Below are 21678 nucleotides of genomic sequence, written 5' to 3' on the forward strand. Positions count from 1 at the left end.
CATGTTGGCCAGGATGGTCTCGAACTCCTGACCTCGGGTGACCACCCACCTCAGCCTCTCCAAGTGCTGGGATTACAGGCATGAGCCATTGTGCCTGGCCTGCTATGAGTTTTGGTCTTTGTTTTCTGTTGTTATAACAGAAGACTAGAGGCTGGGTAATTTGTAAAGAAAAGAGGTTAATTTGGCTCACAATTTTGGCAGCTGAGAAATTCACGATTGGGCAGCTTCATCTAGTGAAGGCCTCAGGCTGCTTCCACTCATGGCCAAAAGCAGAAGGGCAGCCAGCATGTGCAGAGATCACATGGCAAGAGTGGAGAGAGAAACAGATGGATGGGGTGGGGAAGACTCTTGCAGTAGACTCTTTTTAACAACCCTTTAGGAAGGCATTAATATATTTATAAGGGATCTGCCCCGATGACCCAAACACCTCCCACTAGGCCCCACCTCCTGACACTACCACACTGGGAACCAAATTTCAACATGAGTTTTGGTGAGCACAAACCACATCCAAACTATAGCGGTTTTTACCACAAATAGTTCAGTTTTGTAAAATGCTTTATCTGTATCTATTGGGATGACCTCATGAGTTTTCTCCTTTATTCGGTTAATGTGGTGAATTACATTGACTCATTTTATTCAGTGTTTATGTATTTTATTTTGTTATGAATTTTGCAGTTCCCAGATAAAACACTATTTTCCACTGACTCATTTTTGAACGTTAAGTGAATGTTACATTCCTGGATACAATCCCCCCCCCACCTTCTATATATTGTTGAATCCAATTTGATTGCATTTTGTTAAACATTTTTGCATCTGTGTTCATTCCTGAGAGACACTGGACTGGCCTGTAGGTTTCTTTCTTTGTAATGTCTTTGTCTGGTTTTGGTATCAGTAGAATGCTGACTTCATAGACTAAGTTGGGAAGTATGTCTTCCTCCTCTGTTCTCTGAATGAGTTTGTATAGATTTGGTATTACTATTTCCTTGAAAGTTTGATAGATTTCAAAGTAAACCTGTCTGGAGTTTTTTAATCTTTGTTGTTGTTGTTTTGAGAAGGTTTTTAATTATAAGTTCCATTTATTTGATATAGTCCTATTCTGATATTTCAAAATTTCTTTATAAGTCAGTTTTGGTAATTTATGCCTTTCAAAGAATTTGTCTATTTTATGTAAATTATTAAAATTTTTGGCATAAAATTGTTCATAATATTCCTTATTATCCTTTTAATGCCTGTAAGTGCTGTTGTAACAGCTCCCCTTTTATTCTTGATATTGGTAATTTTTTCTTGAGTAGTCTACTTAGAAATCTATCAATTTTATTTATCTTTTCAAAAAACAAACTTTTGAGTCCATTGATTTTTCTCTATTTTTTATTCTATTGATTTAGGCTCTCCTCTGTATTTTCTTTCTTCAACTTACTTTGGGTTTAATTTACTCTTACTTTTTGGTCTTTTTTCTCTTCTAATGTAAGAAATTAAACCTATAATTTCTCCCTCTAAGCATCGTTCTGTCTCTCGCAAATTTTGACACATTGATGTTCATTTTAATCAAGTATTTCTAATTTACTTTGTGATTTTTTCTTTGACTCATGAGTTATTTTAGAAAAAAGTGTGTTATTTAATTTTCAAATAGCTGGGGGTGGGGGTAGTTGAGATTTTTTTTTCTGCAATTGAATTCTAATTTAATTCTATTCTGGTCAGAGAACATTGTATTATTTCAGTCTTTTTAAAATTTTTTTTTTATGATTCATAATATGGTCTATCTTTATGAATGTTTCATATGTACTTAATGATTTCTTCAGTATTTTCATGGAATATGCTATAAATATACATTAGATGAAGTTTGTTTTTTCAATCTTTTATATCTTTACTGATTTTATGTCTACTTGTTCTATCAATTACTGAAAGAGGAGTGTTGAGGTAGCCAATTATAATTGTGAATTTACCTATTTCTCCTTTTGTCAGTTTTTGTTTTATATATTTCCAAGTTCTGTTATTGTGTGCGTACATATTTGGGAACATTATATTTTCTTTTCTCTTTTTTATTTATTTATTTATTTTTTTTGAGATGGAGTCTCTCTCTGTCACCCAGGCTGGAGTGCAGTGGCGTGATCTCGGCTCACTGCCAGCTCTGCCTCCTGGGTTCACGCCATTCTCCTGCCTCAGCCTCCCAAGTAGCTGGGACTACAGGTGCCCACCACCACACCCAGATAATTTTTTGTATTTTTAGTAGAGATGGGGTTTCACCATGTTAGCCAGGATGGTCTCGATCTCCTGACCTCGTGATCCGCCCACCTCGGCCTCCCAAAGTGCTGGGATTACAGGCGTGAGCCACCGCACCCGGCCTATATTTTCTTAATACATAGAACCCTGTATCCATTATGGGCTGCTTTTCTTTTTCTCTGTTAATATTCCTTGTTCTGAAGTCTGCTTTGTCTAATGTTAGTATGGCCACATCAGCTTAATTATAATCAATGTTTGTATGTTGTATTATTTCCATCTTGTCACATTTAATCTATACGTGTCTTTATATGTAAAGTGGATTTATATACACAGTATATAGCTGAATATTGCCCTTTATTCAGTCTGAAAATATCTGCCTTTAATTTGGAATTTTTACATTTTAATTTATGTATACTACCTTGCTATTTGTTTTGTATTTTTTTCATTTATTCTTTGTTCCTTGTTTTTTTCTTTTCCTGATTTCTTTTGGATTGGTTGACTATCTTTAAGGAGTCCATGTTTTTGTCCTCTGTTGTGTTACCAGCAACATCTGTTTCAGTTTCACAGGTCCCTCCAGGGTTTGTGACGTGCAGTGTATCTCATCTCCACCAGCCTCTGAGTAACACACACCTCTGTAAATTAAGAAGCTCATGATAATTTACTTCTAGGTATGCCATAAGCCCCACCATGCATTGTTATTGTTTTAGCCTTAACAATTATTTTTATTATTTTTAAAATTACTATTGTTTTTTCTGAGATGGAGTCTTGCTCTGTTACCCAAGCTGGACTGCAGTGGTGCGGTCATGACCCACTGCAGCTTCAACCTCCCAAGCTCAAGCGATTCTCCTGCCTCAGCCTCCCCAGTAGCTGGGACTACAGGTGCCGTCTCCATGCCCAACTAATTATTATTTTTTAGAGATGGGGTCTTGCTATGTTGCCCAGGCTGGTCTCAAACTCCTGGGCTCAAGAGATCCTCTTGCCTCAGTCTCCCAAAGTGTTGGGATTACAGTGAGGCACAATTATTATAGAAATAAATGTTAAAATGAGTAAAGGGTCTTATTTACCAACATATTCATACTTCCAGCCCTCTGGGTCCCTAATGTAGATGGTGTTCCCATCTGGTGTCATTTTCATTTCCTGTGGACTGTTCAGCTCCCAACTCCCAGTCTTCCTGCCTGACTTTGTAGGGTTTTACATCCTATATCCCAGTACTTAGCAACATAGGGGAGGCCAAGGAAGATTTTCAGGGTTCCTTCTCCCCAGAGATCACTCCTGGCTGGGCTCTGCTTCAGGACCCCTGAACTCTGACCTCCTTCTGCTCCCCTCAGGGCCACTGTCCCATGCCACAGTGGCCTCAGCAGCGAGCCAGGAATGTGTGTCTCCCTCTTCTCAGGGCCCCTGTTCTATGCTGCATGCTCCTCAAGGTCCAAAAACAATTGTTTTGGCTGGGCGCAGTGGCTCAGGCCTGTAATCCCAGCGCGCTGGGAGGCTGAGGTGGGTGGATCACTTGAGATCAGGAGCTCAAGACCAGCCTGGCCAGCATGGTGGAACCCCTGTCTCTACCAAATATACAAAAATTAGCCGGGTGTGGTGGCACATGCCTGTAATCCTAGCTACTCAGGTGGCTGAGGCAGGAGAATCACCTGAGCCCGGGAGGCAGAGGTTGCAGTCAGCTGAGATCACGTCACTGCACTCCAGCCTGGGGGACAGAGTGAGACTCCATCTCAAAAACAAAAACAAATGGTTTTGCACATTTTGTTGAGTTTTTTAGTCTGGTCCCTGTCACTCCATCAAGGCTTCCCAGCAAGCATGGACAATGTGACTTGGCTGTGATGTGAGGGCCCCATGGGGACTGCTGTTCATGCCTCATGGATGATCCTAGCGTTTCAGCACCGAGCAGAGCAGGTGGTGGTGACAGGTCCCCAGGCGCCTTCCCAGAGCAAAGCCTGAAGTGAGGCCAGTGGGACATCTGGACGGAGGTGAGGTTTCCTGGGCTGGGGGTTGGCAGAGTTGCAGCAGGAACCACAGCAACCCCTCTACTTGGCCCAGGAAAGGAGTCTGGGCGTAGCCAGGGTCTCTGGATATGCAGCTCTATCAGTCTCTTCTCACACTGCTATAAAGAAATACCCAAGGCCGGGTGCGGTGGCTCATGCCTGTAATCCTAGCACTGTGGGAGGCTGAGGCGGGCAGACCACAATCTCAGGAGTTCAAGACCAGCCTGGCCAATATGGTGAAACCCCATCTCTACTAAAAATACAAAAAAAAAAAAAAAAAAATTAGCCGGGCATGGTGGCGTGTGCCTGTAATCCCAGCTACTCAGGAGGCTGAGACAGAAGAATCACTTGAACCTGGGAGGCGGAGGTTGCAGTGAGCCGAGATTGCTCCACTGACTCCAGCCTGAGCGACAGGTCAAGATTACATCTTAAAAAATAAATAAATAAATAAATAAATAAAGGTCGGGCATGGTGGCTCACGCCTGCAATCCTGTAATCCCAGCACTTTGGGAGGCTGAGGTGGGCAGATCACGAGGTCAGGAGATCGAGACCATCCTGGCTAACATGGTGAAACCCATCTCTACTAAAAATACAAAAAATTTGGTGGGCGTGGTGGCGGGTGCCTGTAGTCCCAGCTACTCGGGAGGCTGAGGCAGGAGAATGGCATGAACCTGGGAGGCAGAGCTTGCAGTGAGCTGAGATTGCACCACTGCACTCCAGCCTGGGGGACAGAGCGAGAGTCCGTCTCAAAAAAAAAAGAAATACCCAAGACTGGGTGATTTATAAAGGAAAGAGATTTAATTGACTCACAGTTCCCCATGGCTGGGTAGGTCTCAGGAAACTTACAATCATGGTGGAAGGGGAAGCAGGCACTTCCTCACAAGGCGACAGGAGAGACTGCACAAAGAGAGAAGAGCCTCACACTTATCAAACAGCCAGATCTTGTGAGCACTCACTCACCAGGGGGAAACCACCCCCAGGATCCAATCACCTCCCTCCCTCAACATGTGGGGATTACAATTCGAGATGAGATTCGGATGGGGATACAGAGCCAACCACATCAGCAGCTGAGGGGGCTGGCAGCAGGGACTTGGAGTTTGATCTTGGGGAAGTGCCAAGGCCAGAATGTGGGGGCTGTGCCGCATGGACCTGCCTCTTCTGGGCCCTTCTCCAGTCATTAGACCAACCGGAAGCCCCCTCTATCCTAATCTGAGGCCCATGACATCTACGGGGTCTGCAGCCTCTTCCACAAAGGGGGTGCCCTAGACCTGAGACCAGCATCCTCAGCTTGCGCATGACTGCCCGGCACACCTGGGGCTGGGGGCAGGTTCCCACCCCATCTGAAGGGGCTCTGATGCTGGTATGCGCACAGGGGCCACCCCCAACTGGCAGCACAGCCTCCCCCTGCCCTTGGGTTGCTGTGCTTTTCCTCAGAGCTCCTGGAGGTAGTGAAGGTGAGAACAGCCAGCTGCTGAGGCTGCTGCTGTTTCTTACCTAAGGTGAGGCCCGGCAGGACGCTCAGCAGCTCCAGGACTCGGTGGGCAAAGCTTTGGGGCAAGCCCTTTTGGAGAAAGCAGTTTGGGGCGGCCAGACGGTGGTCTGTGGCCCTGGAATCTTTGTCCAAACTGACAGAAGGAGGAGGAAATCGGTGTCCCTGCCATGCCCCCTGTGCCCAGGGGTCGCTGCCTGGATGAGGGTCTGGCATGGGGCTTAGACCTTCAGCTCCACCCAGGCCTGTGGGTGGGGTCGGCGCGCGGCTGCCTGGAGCTATGGCCACAGTGCAGGAGCGGGGATGAGCTCCTGGAGATGAAGACATAAGCAGGACTTCAGCCTCAGCTGACCTCAGCACTCAGCTTTTCTGCTAAAAGCAGCTCAGGGACAAAATCAGCCCCTCCCCCAGATCTGAACCTCATTCCAGCCACACTGGCCTCCTGCATGACTCAGTGCCCCCCTCATCTCCTTGCAGCCAAGTCCTCCCACTTGGAGGCCCACAGAGTTGGGGGGGGCCTCCATCTTGGGGCAGATGCCCACACCTCTGGGGTTGGCCTTCCTCAGAGCCCTGGAGCTCCCTGGGGGCACAGGGAGAGGAGGCCCATGGGAGCCCAGGGAGGTGGCCTGAGGGCAGCTGGACATCTGGGGGATGGGGGGGTGTCACGGGCCACCTGGAAAGCAGCCTGCTTAACCCACTGGAGCTTACTATTGAGGGTCTGAGCCCCCGCAGGACAGAAATGCAATCTGCACACGTTTGAGGAGCACAGTTTGAGGCATTTGACGCGTGCTTGCCTGAAGCCAGCACATCCTCCTCCGCCCACACCCGCCAGCCACGGATCTGCTGCTGGCCTGTCGCGGACTTCACATTTGCTGGAATTTTACACGAATGGAGTCGTTCACTACCTCCCTCCTTTTGATCTGGCCCCATTTACTGAGCTTGCTGCTCTTCTGACAGTATGGTTTGGATCTGTGTCCCCACCCAAATCTCCTGCCAAACTGTAATCGCCACATGTCAGGGGAGGGGCCTGCTGGGGGGTGACTAGATCCTGGGGCAGACTTCCCCTTGCTATTCTCCGGATAGTGAGTTCTCACAAGATCTGCTTGTTTGGAAGCGTGCAGCACTTTCCCCTTTTACTCACTCGCTCTCCCTCCTCCCACCAGCTAAGACGTGCCTGCTTCCCCTTCGCCTTCCGCCATGATTGTAACTTTCATGAGGCCTCCCCAGCTATGTGGAACTGTGAGTCCATTAATCCTCTTTTCTTTATAAATCACCCTGTCTGAGATATGTGTTTATAGCAGTGTGAGAACAGACTAACACACCTGGGCATGCCCTGTGCTGCAGTCACACCAGCAGCTCACCCCTCTCCATGCTGAGCAGGACCCCGTGGCGCCGTCACACCAGCAGCTCACCCCTCTCCATGCTGAGCAGGACCCCGTGGCGCCGTCACACCAGCAGCTCACCCCTCTCCATGCTGAGCAGGACCCCGTGGCGCCGTCACACCAGCAGCTCACCCCTCTCCATGCTGAGCAGGACCCCGTGGCGTGGACGCACACAGCTCCTTCGTATGTCCAGCTGTGCGTGGATCATGGGTTGTTCCTGAACACGTCTGTGTGGCCTTGCTCTTTCATTTCTCTTGGGTCAACACCTAGGAGCAGATTGCTAAACTGTGTACGAAATTTCTATTTTGCTTTTTTTTTTTCTTTTTGACATGGAGTTTTGCTCTTGTTGCTCAGGCTAGAGTGCAATGGCGCGATCTCGGCTCACTGCAACCTCCGCCTCTCAAGGTTCAAGCGATTCTCCTGCCTCAGCCTCCCGAGTAGCTGGGACTACAGGTGTGTGCCACCATGCCCGGCTAATTTTGTATTTTTAGTACAGACGGGGTTTCTCCATGTTGGTCAGGCTGGTCTCCAACTCCTGACCTCAGGTGATCCGCCTGCCTCCGCCTCCGCCTCCCGAAGTGTTGGGATTACAGGTGTGAGCCACCGCACCGGCGTCTATTTTGCTTTTTAAAAGACTGCCGGCCGGGCGCGGTGGCTCACACCTGTAATCCCAGCACTTTGGGAGGCCGAGGCGGGTGGATCACGAGGTCAGGAGATCGAGACCATCCCGGCTAACACGGTGAAACCCCGTCTCTACTAAAAATACAAAAAATTAGCCGGGCGTAGTGGCGGGCGCCTGTAGTCCCAGCTACTTGGGAGGCTGAGGCAGGAGAATGGCGTGAACCCGGGAGGCGGAGCTTGCAGTGAGCCGAGATCCCGCCACTGCACTCCAGCCTGGGCGACAGAGCGAGACTCCGTCTCAAAAAAAAAAAAAAAAAAGACTGCCAAGCGGTTTTCCAAAGCAGTTGTGCCATTTTAAGCTCCCACCCAGACTGCGTGAGGGTGTGGGCTTCTCCACATGCGTGGGGACACTTGGCTTGGTGGGTCTTGACTGGGTGCCCTAGTGGGTGCGGCAGCATCTTGCTGTGGCTCCAACTTGCATTTCCTCCAGGACCAGTGATGTGAGCATCGCTGCTTGGCCGCTGCCATTTGTATCTCCGTGAAGTCACCGAGAAGATGCTGTCACACAAGGGGGTGTCACACAGGTGCAGTCTCTCTTCAAGCTTCACGTGGTCTATGCATTACAACCCGGCAAGGATGACCTTGTGTCCACGTGCAGGACGGAGCATAGTCACAGGCTCGGTGACCGCAGACCCGGCTCCCACGTGCAGAATGGAGCCTCAGTGACTGTGGGTAGCACTCAGGCCAGTGGCCGGCTGGGAAGATGGTGCATCCTGGGCCTTTCACGTGTGGGTGTCCGGGTGGCGCCGTGCGTGACCCTGTGCAGCCGTGTCTGCGTGTGCGCAGGTGTCCGGGTGGCGCCATGCGTGACCCTGTGCAGCCGTCTGCATGTGCGCAGGTGTCCGGGTAACGCCGTGCGTGACCCTGTGCAGCCATGTCTGCGTGTGCGCAGGTGTCTGGGTGGCACCGTGTGTGACCTTGTGTAGCCGTCTGCGTGTGCGCACGGCTTGTACATGCCTGTGCACCTGCGTGTCTCCATGCTGAGCTGAATGGTTGGAAGAGGAGAAATTCTGGCGGTAGCATGGCCAGGTGGGGGCCACAGACTCCCTTCTGAGCTGGGTCAGCCTGGATGGGGGTTTTCCTGTCCTGCAACCCAGACCCCACCGTCCTGGCCTCCATTCTATGCACTCCATCTCAGCCTACCCCGGACCAGTGACCTGCTGCACTCCACACCTTCCTCCATCCTCCGCAGTCTCGGCCTAGCCTGGACCGGCCACCCGCTGCTCTCCACACATAACCAGAGGCTCAGGCCCCTGACGGAGGAAGGGTGTGCAGCCAGCCAGAGGGAGGTGGACTCACTTGTCCAGGCAGGGTGGCTGGGTTTGCCACAGGCCGGGGAGAAGCGACCCAAGCTTTCAGAGTTAAGGGTCTGGGGCGGGGTCTGGGGGATTAGTTTGGAGCTTGGGTGTGACGTGGGCGGCAGCAGGAGAGGAGGGGGCCGCACAGCACAGGGCTGAGGCTGGAGAGCCTAGAGGGAGCGTGGCCCGAGCTGCCCCCAGAGCAGGAGCATCTGAGTTGGGGTGGCCAGACCCGGAGCCGGAATCCAGACGACCTTGATGTGAAAATCTCAGCACCTATTTAGCTTCTCATTATTTTTTAAAAGAGCTAAAAATAGTGGCGGGTGCATAGCAAACGTGCAGTCATTATTCTCTGAAAACAGGAAGAGCCTGGCGGTGAGTTCAGGGCTATGATTCAGGGCCTCCTCGAGTCTGCTGTGGGGTGGGGGCTCACCATGGTCACCTTCTCCTTCCAGGGGCCCCTGGTCCTCCACCAGCCCGACAGCCCGGAGGCCACCTTGGCCCTGCGGGGATGGCACAGGGGCAGTGTGGAGCCCACCCTTGCTCCTAGGTCCAGGGCCCAGGGGCAGGGGCCAAGTGGAGAGGAGAGAGGAGTCCCGGGGCCGAGGGGAGGAAGGGGGTCTGGGGACTGCAGGGGCCCCCGCCCTTGGCCTTGCCCTGGCTGGGCTCTATGGCCCCCTGAAGAGCTGCCCAGAGCCGCTGCAGCCCCGGGACCCGCTTCTCCTCTCCACTCGGCCCCTGCAACAATCCAACCACGGCAAGGTTGCTGAGGAAGCACAGCCTTGTGCCCCAGCTGGTGAACGGCACCTGGGCGAGTGGATCCACACTGGAGACACAGCAGTCATCGGAAAATAGTTTAATTCTGTACAGACAACCACGGGACTGATTACAAAGTGCGGTGCAAACACCAGGGCCCATGAGCGCCAGCAGCGTGGCCCACCACGTGCCGGGGCTCCAGAGGCCACGCCCGAAACACCAAATAAATCACAGACGTGACAATTGCGGGAGGAGCATGAATCAGCTGTTCCTTCGGGAGGAGAAAAAGGAAACAACAATCAGAGGCTTTGGAATGCTTTCTCTTCATGTGCCTGGAACGCTGGGCGGGCGGTGACCCGGGGCTCGGAGCCCCACCCTGGCCACACCTGCTGTCGCCCACGGGGTCCTCACGGTGGGGACCCAGGTCCCACGACGGCTCCCAACCTGTGGAGCTGTGTGCGCAGCCACCACCACTGCGGCCTCAGAAGAGGGGCCGGGAGCCCTGGTTCTCAAACTCCGACCAGGCGTCATTCAGCTCCATGAAGATCATCTTGGCGTGCTGCTCGTACGGCTGCCCCGCAGCCTATGGGTGACAGGCGGTGTAAGCGCCTCTTATAAGCATGCGGGGGCGGGCGGGGCAGGACCCCCCCCCCGCCCCGCCCCTGAAGGCCTCAAGCGGCCGCCTGGCAGCTCTGCTCACCTTGTCGGGGTGCACAGCCAGCACCGCGCGGCGATAGTGCTTCTTCACTTGCTCCGGAGCCACCAGGTCGGCCATGCCCACGGGCGTCCAGCGGCTCTCCCCGTCCCACAGCACTGTGTGCAGCGTGGACAGCAGGGCCCGGATGTTCCGCTCCTTGCCCTCAATCCAGTCCAGGAGCTGCGGGAGACACGGAGCTTGCCGAGCCCTGGGCACCTGCCTGCCCTCCTCCTCTGCACCGCGGAAACTGAGGCACGACGCTGAGGAAGTGCCTGGTCACGTGGGGTGGGCTCAGCCCGGCTCACAGACACTGTCCCACTGCACGCCCTGCCCTCAACTATATAGAGCCCACTCCGGACGACACAGGGCCAGGTGGTCTTCATGTTTCAGGGCCTGGGGCCAGAGGGACCCTCGTCTCAGCCAGATGTTCACCGAGGACACAAACCCTGGTTCTGGTGGTGCAACCCCTTGGCCCATCCCAGGCCCCAGACTCCGAGGGAGAAGGGGATGGTCCCTGGTGCCTGTGAAAGGACCCCAAGGTCACAGGCGCATGTGGCCTGCAGAGCTGGGCATCGGCCAAGCCACAGAGCAGGGCGTGTCTCAGGGCCGGCACAGTGACAGCCTGACCGCTGCATCCTCACCCCCCAGTGAGCGTCCTGGGTTGGGAGGCTCAGTACCCAGAGCAGCCCCCAAGAGACGCCTGCCCTCAACAGTCTCTGCAAACACCCCGGGGCACTCACTCCTGTAACGCCCGCCCACCCCACCCCCACCAGCGCTGAGCCATCTGGGCACGTGGGGAGCAGCACAGCCTGGGGCCTGACTCTGCCCTGCCCCCCTGGCCTCAGGCCACCCTGTCCTTGAGGGCTGCCAGGCCCATCGGCAGTGACAGGTCCCTGTCTGGAGACGCCGGCTCCATGTGGTACAGCAGATGCTCCAGGGGTGAAAGGTTGCTGTCTGGAGACGCCGGCTCCATAAGGCACAGCAGATGCTCCAGGGGCCATGGGTTGAGGCCTCTGGGCTCCCAGGAAGAGCTGCCCACCCACCCACCTTCAGCTTGAGTGGGTCCGTGTCTTTAGCCAGGTCCTGCTTCCTCATCTCTGCAATGGTCTTTGGCCCTTTCTTGTCAGACCTGGAGGAGAAGCCTTGATTGGACAACAGATCTTCAAAGTCGTTCTCAGAGACTTTTGGCTTTTGAGCTAGAAAAGAACAGAAACTTTTTTTTGTTTGAGACAGGGTCTCCACTCTGTCACCCAGGCCAGAGTGCAATGGCGTGATCTCAGCTCTCTGCAGCCTTTGCCTCCCGGCCTCAAGCGATCCTCTTGCCTCAGCCTCCCAAGTAGCTGGGACCACAGGCATGCGCCACCATGCCTGGCTAATTTTTACATTTTTTGTAGAGAGGAGGTATCACTGTTGCCCAAGCTGGTCTTGAACTCCTGGGCTCCAGCGATCTGTCCGCCTCAGCCTCCCAAAGTGCTGGGATTATAGGCGTGAGCCACAAAGCCCAGTTAAGAACAGAAACTTTCTGCAGAGACACACAGGCCCAATTCCACCTGCTGCCCCCGGGAACAGGGCTACCATCCTGATGCCTCCAGAGTAAAGAAGAGGGAAGACAAGACAGGGTTGCAAAGGCCATTTGTTAAAAACAGGTCAAGAAGGTGTCACTGGAACAAGAGGGACCCAGAGGCCTGACCCAGAGAGAGACCAGTGAACACACATCGGAAACCGCGTCGTTCTCTGAGTGGCTTGGCCGTGCCTGTCCCAGGACTGGGCTCTGAGATGAAGAAAACAACATAGGTTCTACCTTTAGCCAATTCAGGGAGGTCTCTGCAAACTCCACAGCAACAGAGAGTGGGGGACTCACCAAAGCTGGGTGCGCGGACCCCCCGCTCCTCCCGCGCCCCGATCACACTGAAGTTCGAGGCATAGTTAGGCCTTGGCTGTGTGCAGGCTTTGGGGGGCGGCTTGGCCTGAGGGGGCCATGAGGCGCCCTGGGCTGGCGGCCGACTTGTCTGCCAGGAGCTGCTGCCTTTGGGCGTGGTGGCCGTTTTGGGAATGAAGCCCCCAGGAGGGAATCCAGCTGGTGAGCCTGTGGAGATGGAGATCGGAAACTCGGCATCTGGTTGTCCATGAGGGGCAACTACTGTTTCTATAACGCAGAGCACCACGTATATTGGAAAACATGCGCTTGCAAAATAGAACACCGATCACTCGAGGCCGTCCAGAGGTGCCGGCTCCACCCACACGTGTGAAGGTCTCCAGGGGCTGGAGCACAGGCCAGGTGCTGGGGCGACGGGAACACTCTGGATGGAGGGCAGACACCAGGACAGGGCAGCTGTGGAGGCAGCACCCCACCCCCAGGAGCCAAGGCAGACCCAGGGCTTGTCCACGGGGGTTGGGGCAGTGTCCCCACGTCACCCCCAGGAGCCAAGGCAGACCCGGGGCTTGTCCACGGGGGTTGGGGCAGTGTCCCCACGTCTGTAGCGTCCTAGAGGGCCACCACCATCTGTCACGTGGCCACTGCCTCTCGCAGCACATCAAATCAGGGCTGATCCCGTAACTTTTTTTTTTTGAGACGGAATCTCGCTCTGTCACCCAGGCTGGAGTGCAGTGGTGTGATCTCAGCTCACTTCAAGCTCCACCTCCCGGATTCTCACCATTCTCCTGCCTCAGCCTCCCAAGTAGCTGGGACTACAGGCGCCCACCACCACGCACGGTTAATTTTTTTTGTATTTTTTAGTAGAGGTGGGATTTCACCATGTTAGCCAGGATGGTCTCCATCTCCTGACCTCGTGATCTGCCCACCTCGGCCTCCCAAAGTGCTGGGATTACAGGCGTGAGCCACCGTGCCTGGCCCGATCCTTTAACTTTTTATTTTGGAATAATCAGAATAGCAGGAAGCTGTAAATACCCTGAGCACCTGCGCCCAGCATCCCCCAGGGAGGGCGTCTCTCATAACCTCAGAGAAGCACTGAGCCCGGGCAGCCGCGCCACCTACAGATGCACCAGACGTGGCCAGCTGGACTCGTGTGTGTGAGTGCGGGGCCGCGCCACTGACCGCACCACGGATTCCTCTCAGCACCACAGCAATCACGACCTGAATGCTTCACTACAGTTCTGTCATCTTTTTTTTTTTTTGGAGATGGTCTCACTATGGCTGGTCTCAAACTCCTAGGCTTAAGAGACCCGCTGGCCTCACCTCCCACAGGGCTGGGATGGTAGGTGTGAGCCACCATGCCCAGACTGTCATCTTAGTTATGTTCTAGAAGGGGACCAACAGCTGCAGCCTCTGGACTGGCACTCTTCACTAGGGCTCGGGGCATCCGCCACTCCCCCTCCCTGCCAAGGGCCATCTCGTGGTGTGCAGACCACCTATTGAACCGTTCACCTGTAGGACACCTGGGTTGATGCCACTGTTTGGCTACAACAGACACGTCTCTGAACGCCTGTTACGGACTTGTGTGTGAATGAGAGTTTCCGTTTCTCTGGGATAAATGTCCCACGGTAGCTCAGTAGCTGTGTGTTTAGCTTCGTAGGAAACCGACCACCTGTTCTCCAGAGCGGCCCTGCCACTTGTCACTCCCTGGGAATGCCTGAGAGACACGGCTCAACCCTGGCAATGCATGAGACACAGCTCGCCCCCGGGGCAATGCGCGAGACACGCGGCTCGTCCCCCCGGCAAGGCGTGAGGCACGCGGCTCGTCCCCCGGCAAGTCCCCCCGGCAAGGCATGAGGCACGCGGCTCGCCCCCCGGGCAATGCGTGAGACACACGCTCCAGCCTCCTCCGTGTTCGGGCCTCCTCCGCGCTCCGGCCTCCTCCGCGCCAGCATTCGGTGATGCTGGGTGTCTCAGCCTGTGCTTCCTGGCCATCGGATGTCAATGTGCTGGAGGTCTCTTCATGTCTCTTGCCCATTTTCTTTTTTTTTTTTTGAGACAGAGTCTTGCTCTGTCGCCCAGGCTGGAGTGCAGTGGCAAGATCTCGGCTGACGCAACCTCCGCCTCCCGGGTTCCAGCGATTCTCCTGCCTCAACCTCCCGAGTAGCTGGGATTACAGGCCTGTGCCACCACGTCCAGCTAATTTTTGTATTTTTAGTAGAGACAGGGTTTCTCCATGTTGGTCAGGCTGGTCGCGAACTCCCGACCTCAGGTGATCCGCCTGCCTCAGCCTCCCAAAGTGCTGGGATTACAGGCATGAGCCACCATGCCCGGCCGTCTCTCGCCCATTTTCTTTCTTTTTTTTTTTTTTTTAATTGATCATTCTTGGGTGTTTCTCGCAGAGGGGGATTTGGCAGGGTCACAGGACAATAGTGGAGGGAAGGTCAGCAGATAAACAAGTGAACAAAGGTCTCTGGTTTTCGTAGGCAGAGGACCCTGCGCTCTCGCCCATTTTCTAACTGGATTGCTTTCAGTTTGTTTTTGACTGTATTTTTATATTCTGTAGATGAGTCCTTTGTCAAATAGGTGGTTTGGAAATATCTTCTCCCAGTCCGCAGCTCAGATGCTCAGAGCTCTGAAGTTGGGTCCACCTGTCCTCTTATGGGTGTGGTTTGGGTGGCGAGTCTACGAACTCTGCCCAGCCCCAGGCCACAAAGGTTTTCACCTAAAGGCCCTGCATTCTGATGAGCTGTTCTGTAGAACGAGGGCTTAGGGCTTTGCCTACCGCTGCCCAGGTGCTCCAGACCATCTGATGAACGGGTTTTCTGCCTCTGTCAAAGCTCCGCTGGTCTCTCTTGTGTGGCCTGAGTCCTCTCTTCTCTCCACAGACGCGTCTGTCTGCCATCGCCGCAATGTTGATTTGTGGCTTCAGAGTAAGCCTCAAAGCCAGGAACAGTGACTTCTCCCATTTCATTTTTCCATTACAAAAATATTCCAGGCATGGCTGGGTGCGGTGGCTCACGCCTGTAATCCCAGCACTTTGGGAGGCCGAGGCGGGCGGATCACGAGGTCAGGAGATCAAGACCATCCTGACTAACACGGTGAAACCCCATCTCTACTAAAAATACAAAAAATTAGCTGGGCGTGGTGGCGGGTGCCTGTAGTCCCAGCTACTCAGGAGGCTGAGGCAGGAGAATGGCGTGAACCCGGTAAGGGAACTTGCAGTGAGCCGAGATCAGGCCACTGCACTCCAGCCTGGGCGACAGAGCGAGGCTCCATCTCAAAAAAATAAACTATTCCAGGCATCTAGTCCATCTGTCTTTCAAATACACTGTACAGTAAGCTCATTTGTATCTAGGAAAATCCCTGCTGAGGCGTTGGTAGGAACTGCGTTAGGCTACAGATGCACACAGGAGAACGGCCACCTTACTCGGGAGCCTCCAGGCCGTGAGTGCAGCGTCCGTCCCTTCACTCGCATCTCCTCTGGTCTCTTTCGCCACGGTTGGTTTTGTAGTCCCACCACACAAGCCCTAGACATGTCTGGTCAGATTTATACCTAAATGTTTATTTTTTCTAAAAAAAAAAAAGGTGATTGTAAATGGTACTGTTTTAAATGTTGGCTTCCTTATATAATTGCAAGTAAACAGAAATAGGACAGATTTTTGTGTGTTGACCTGGTATCCTGCGACCTTACTGAACTCATAGTTCTAAAAGATCTTTGTAGATTGCTTCAGAGTCCCTGCGCAGACAATCGTGTCATCTGCAGACAGGAGTAATTTTATTTCTCCCTTTGTAGTGCGTGTAACTTTGATCTCCTTTTCTTGCCAAATGGCAGCAGCTGGGACTTCCGACAAGTACAAGTGGAGAAAAGACACTCCTGCCCTGTTCCTGATTTTAGGAGGATGGTTAAAAATGATATTGGCTTGGCCAGGCAGGGTGGCTCATACCTGTAATCCCAGCACTTTGGGAGGTCACTTGAGATCAGGAGTTTGAGACCAGCCTGGCCAACATGGTGAAACCATGTCTCTACTAAAAATACAAAAATTAGCTGGGCATGGTGGTGCATGCCTGTAATCCCAGCTACTCAGGAGGCTGAGGCGGGAGAATTGCTTGAAACTGGGAGGTGGAGGTTGCAGTGAGCCAAGATTATGCCACTGCACTCCAGCCAGGGCAACAGAGCAAGACTCTTGTCTCAAAACAAACAAACAAAAAAAAGATGTTGGCTGCAGGTTTCTGGAGACAGGGTCTTGCTCTGCTGCCCAGACTGGAGTGCAGTGATGCAATAATAGCTCAGGCCAGCCTTGACCTCCTGGGCTCAAGCGATCCAAGTGATCTTCCCACCTCAGCTTGCTGAGTAGCTGGGACCACACCTGCTCACCACAGCTGCTCACCACACCTGCTCACCACCACAGCTGCTCACACCTGCTCACCACAGCTGCTCACACCTGCTCACCACAGCTGCTCACCACCACAGCTGCTCACACCTGCTCACCACAGCTGCTCACAACTGCTCACACCTCACCACAGCTGCTCACCCCTGCTCACCACAGCTGCTCACACCTGCTCACCACAGCTGCTCACACCTGCTCACACCTGCTCACCACAGCTGCTCACCACAGCTGCTCACACCTGCTCACCACCACAGCTGCTCACCACAGCTGCTCACACCTGCTCACCACAGCTGCTCACTACAGCTGCTCACCACAGCTGCTCACCACCACAGCTGCTCACACCTACTCACCACCACAGCTGCTCACACCTGCTCACCACCACAGCTGCTCACACCTGCTCACCACCACAGCTGCTCACCACAGCTGCTCACCACCACAGGTGCTCACAGCTGCTCACCACAGGTGCTCACACCTGCTCACCACAGCTGCTCACACCTGCTCACCATAGCTCACCACAGCTGCTCACACCTGCTCACCACAGCTGCCCACATTTGCTCACCACCACAGCTGCTCACCACAGCTGCTCACCACCACAGCTGGCTAATTCTTACAGGGGTCTCACTATATTGCTCAAGCTGGTTTCAAACTCCTGGGTTCAGGAAATCCTCCCACGTTGGCCTCCCAGAGCACTGGGGTTACGGTGTGAGCCACTCCGCCTGGCCTGGCTGTGGGTCTCTAGACATGCTTGTTACCAAGCTGACGACGTTCTGCTCATGACTGGCTGACAGTGCTGCCATAAAAGGTGCTGACTTTCTGAATTTTGTTAAATGCCTTTTCTGCCTTGTTGATGTGACCACATGACTCTTCAGCCAGTTAATATGATATCAGATTAGTGCAAAAGTAATTACGGTTTTTGTGATTACTTTCAATGGCAAAACCACAATTACTTTCGCAGCAACCTAAATAGATTTTGTTAACAATTCTGAAATGTCAGCCTTGGATTCCTGGAATAAATCTTACTTGATCTTGGTGTAGAATTCTCTTTATATACCGATAAATCCTATTTGCTGAAGTTTGGTTGAGGATCTGTGTGTATATTCATGGGGAATATAGTCCCAGTTTCCCTTTCCGGTGCTGTTTCTGTCTGATTTTGGTATCAGGGTGATAGTATGAGCTTCGTAAAATCAATTAGAAAGTGCTCCGTCTCTCCTGCTTCCTGTGAGAGGGTGGAATTGGCATTCTCTTTCAACATTCGGTGAAATTCTCCAGTGGCCCAGGTGGGTCCGCAGGTTTCCTTTTTGGGAAGTTTTTAATTATGAATTTATTTTCTTTGTATTTATAGAATTTTTCAAAGGATCTACTTGATATTGGGTAAGTTGTGGCAGGAACTGGTTTTGAGGAATTTATCAATTTCACGTAAGTCGTCAAGCATACTGCACAGAGGCGCCTGCACCCGTGACCCTCGTAGAGCCTGCGGGGTCTGCAGTGGTGCCTCCTGCACCATCCCCCATATCGATGACCTGGGTCACTCTTCCCAGCAGCCCCGGGAGAGGTCTGTGGGCTTCAGAACTGGCCTCTGTCCCTGTGTTCCACTGCACTGCCCGTGGCTCCTCATTCTTTCTTTCCTTCCGCTTGCTGTAGGCTTATTTCGCTCCCTTTTTTTCCCCCCAAATGTCTTGTGCAGAGAGCTCAGGTTACTGCTGGGGCATTCCAGCTTTTCCACAGCAAGCCCCCACGGCTGCGGGTGTCTCCACACTGCCTGATGGGGCCCTGGGCTTTCCTAGGCTGCACTTGCATCTTCACTCAGCTCCACGCATCGTCTCCCTTGAGACCTCCTCTCTGGCCCAGGTGTCGTTTGAAAGTGTGCTGTTTTGTTCCCAAGTGTGAAGATTCTTCCGTTCTATTTCATTGTGGTCAGACGGCATGCTGCAGAATCCTAGTTCTCTGAGGACAGGGCCTGTGTGGAGGAGGCTCCCACGGTGCATGGAAAGGTCCGTGCCTGCAGCTGGTGGGCCCTGCTGGCTGGCGCCTCTGCCCTTCTACATCCTTGCAGCCTTCAGTACAGCTGCTCCGTCATGTGTCGGGACAGCAGTGCTGACGTCGCCAGCTATGATTTGGGTTTGTCTATTTTTTCCTTCAGTTGTATCGGCTTTGCTCTTCCAGAATTGCTGTCTTCCTAGAAGGCAGGATGGTTTCAGGCCGCCCACCGAGCCAGCAGGCGGAGGGCTGGGGCTGTGTCTGGGACACAAACGGCGGGGATCCCTGGGAGTCCACTCCTTCTGCCCCAGTGCCGGCTGCCCAGGGCAGTCAAGGCACACGCAGGTCTCCTCCCGAGGGCACGGCCCTCGCAACCCCACCGTGCTCTCAGACAACACAAGACAGAGGCCACAAAGGGAAATAAAATACAAAACCACACCGACAGAAACGCTCATGGATGTCCTCAAGACATAGTAAATCCCCAAAACCACCTGAAACATAAAAAGAACATTCAAAGACGAAAAAACTCTTGGGACTTCATGACAGAACAGAAGGCACTTCAGATGTGAGCTCGCAAGAGCAGAGTGAGGACTCAAAGCCAGCCCGGGAGAGAGTGAGGACTCGAAGCCAGCCCTAGAGATCCAACGCCGACACCTGCTCACAGGAATTTGAGGCACTCAGGGAAGGACAGGAGAAACGATGAGGAGACGGGAAATGCTCCCGGAGCTGAGCAGGAGCAGATGCCATAGCCTGGGGCTGCATGCTGGAGCGTCCGGGGGTCACCGGCACCAACAAGCATCCCAAGGTGGAGCCACTTCCCACCCAGCATTCCACCCGACGGCCAGGCAAGTGCAAGGGAGGCCCCTTCAGATGATCATCCCCCCGCCGCCGACGCTTCTTCTGAGAAGCCACAGGGACCCCAGGGGGATGCATCTTGGGAGTGAACCCAGAGACCCAGGGGCATCAGGTCAGCCCAAGGAGACTTGAAGCCACAGCGCCCGGGGCCGGGCCTGAGGCAGACGTGGGACCGGAGACTCAGACCACAGCGCCCGGGCCGGGCCTGAGGCAGACGCAGGACTGGAGAGGGTGGGCTCGGTTCTTGTGGCCGACAGCTAGCACGCTCCGAGCACAGCCTCGGGGACTGAGCAGAGCCCAGCTACACCCCACTTCCATGCAGAGACCCCGCCTCCCCGATGGCCCCCATGGCCCTGAGGACAGGATGGATCACGCACCACAATGCCGGTGGGGGCTGGCAGCAGTGCCAGTGTCAGCAACTCCCGGTTTTAGCTTGCCAGTTGGCAGTCGCCTGGAACAGGTGCAGACACGCTGTCCCCTTGGGCTCACTGTGCTCTGGGCTTGGGGGTCTTAGTGAACAGAGGCAAAGACTTCACTTTGGGCAGCTCAGAGTCAGATAGACGAGAATAAACCTCCTACAAGGAAACAGCTTCCACACCCCCAAAGTGCCCTCCACGTTACCTTGGAGGCCGGAGCTGAGGTCGCCAAGGTCAGCAAATGGGTCCGGGTTCTGAGACTTGGTCCAGCTGGCCTGAGAGCCACAAGGGGCCGGCTGACCTCCAGGAGAGAAGAGGGGGCCTGGAGAAGGGGCACAGGGCATTAGAACAAGCACCATCTGAAGCGAAACACATCCTCCTGGGACCTCCGATGGCGCCTCCTTACGACATGACAGCCTCACTCCTGCCTGAGAGCTGGCACCTGCATGGCTTGCGTGCACGAGACCAGCCAGGACAGAGGTGTGTGTGGCGGACGCTGCCTCCATGCCCCATGCTGCTCCTCAGGGAAAACAGCTTCACAGCTCACACCCAGAACCAAACCATGCTCATATCATTATGATTATGATTCTGCAGTACCACTTTCTGGAATCTATCTAAAATGTGAATGCTCTTCAGGATACTCTTTATAATAGCATAAATTTGAGAATATCCTAAGTATAAAATCATAAAATACAGGCTGGGCAACATAGAAATACCCTGTCTCTACAAAAAATAAAAAAATCATCCAGGCACGGTGGTTCATGCATGTGGTCCCAGCTACCCAGGGGGGCTGCGGTGGGAGGATCGCTCCAGCCCAGGGGTTGACGGCCCCAGCTACCCAGGGGGGCTGCGGTGGGAGGATCGCTCCAGCCCAGGGGTTGACGGCTGCAGTGAGCCAAAATGATGCCACTGCACTCAGCCCCAGTGACAGAATGACACTCTGTCTCAAAAAAAAAAAAAACCGTGGTAGAGCTACTTGATAGAGTGCCATGCAGTCATTAAAACCAGGCTCTTCATGTATAAAGAGCCCTCGTGGATCTATTTGAGGAAAAAGATGAATTCCTGAGGCCAAAAAATAAGCAAAGAACATGAAATGATTCTCAAAAGAAATACACGTAACCAAAACCACTCAAACTAAGAGTCAACCTCATTCATAAGAAAGAAATCAAACTGGCGAGACACCTTCACAGTGATCATCCAACCAGGAGACAAACCGGAGATGGCAGTTGCCCCTGGGCAAAGACGTCCTGAAGCGCACTTGAGGGGACGGGCACCCAGGCCCTGGCGCACCTCGCACTGTGCACACGGGGAGAAGGGCACCCAGGCCCTGGCGCACCTCGCACTGTGCACTCGAGGGGACGGGCACCCAGGCCCTGGCGCACCTCGCACTGTGCACTCGAGGGGACGGGCACCCAGGCCCTGGCACATCGTGCACTGTGCCTCCCGGAGCTCTGCAGACAGTGTGTGTTCCACCTGCTGAGGGCTGTGTCAACTCTGTCCGGCACCATTTTCCGCACGCCATGTGCACTCTGTGTCCCTGTGCCCCATTTTGGGAACTGTAATGATATTTCAAACTTCTTCATGATTGCATCTGCTTTGGTGATGTGTGTCCCATGAGTTGATGCTGCTGCTCTAATTGTTTTGGGGTG

At 53.4% G+C, this 21678-nt stretch overlaps 1 protein-coding gene and 1 long non-coding RNA gene across 50 annotated transcripts in view; both read right to left on the reverse strand.

Annotated features, from left to right (window-relative positions):
• Positions 1-638: 638 nt before the first annotated feature.
• On the reverse strand, positions 639-7450 carry LOC105374340 (uncharacterized). 2 transcript variants are annotated; one of them, XR_925033.3, is made up of 4 exons: positions 7026-7450; positions 5709-6014; positions 5061-5111; positions 639-2852 (listed from the first exon to the last, which is right to left on the reverse strand). It is a non-coding gene; the product is annotated as an uncharacterized LOC105374340 (long non-coding RNA). The 2 variants fall into 2 exon arrangements; XR_925034.3 differs by lacking the exon at positions 7026-7450 and having other exon boundaries at positions 5709-6894.
• A 2455-nt stretch (positions 7451-9905) lies between these two features.
• The window catches only part of GAK (cyclin G associated kinase), an 83040-nt gene continuing 71267 nt past the window's right edge, over positions 9906-21678 (reverse strand). For 19 of the 48 annotated variants that reach the window (XM_047450032.1, XM_047450022.1, XM_047450019.1 and 16 more), the window contains 5 exons: positions 20235-20351; positions 12379-12603; positions 11565-11713; positions 10521-10697; positions 9906-10403 (listed from right to left, as the gene is read on the reverse strand). In XM_047450032.1, coding sequence (XP_047305988.1) covers positions 10302-10403; positions 10521-10697; positions 11565-11713; positions 12379-12603; positions 20235-20351 — 770 coding nt within the window. In that variant the 3' untranslated portion in view covers positions 9906-10301. Of the gene's footprint in view, positions 10404-10520; positions 10698-11564; positions 11714-11937; positions 12604-19990; positions 20123-20234; positions 20352-21678 lie in introns of those variants that run through there. The other 29 variants (XM_017007992.2, XM_047450004.1, XM_011513430.2 and 26 more) reach the window with 4 other exon arrangements.

The sequence above is a fragment of the Homo sapiens genome, chromosome 4 (genome assembly GCF_000001405.40).
Source record: "Homo sapiens chromosome 4, GRCh38.p14 Primary Assembly".
Lineage (NCBI taxonomy): Eukaryota > Metazoa > Chordata > Mammalia > Primates > Hominidae > Homo > Homo sapiens.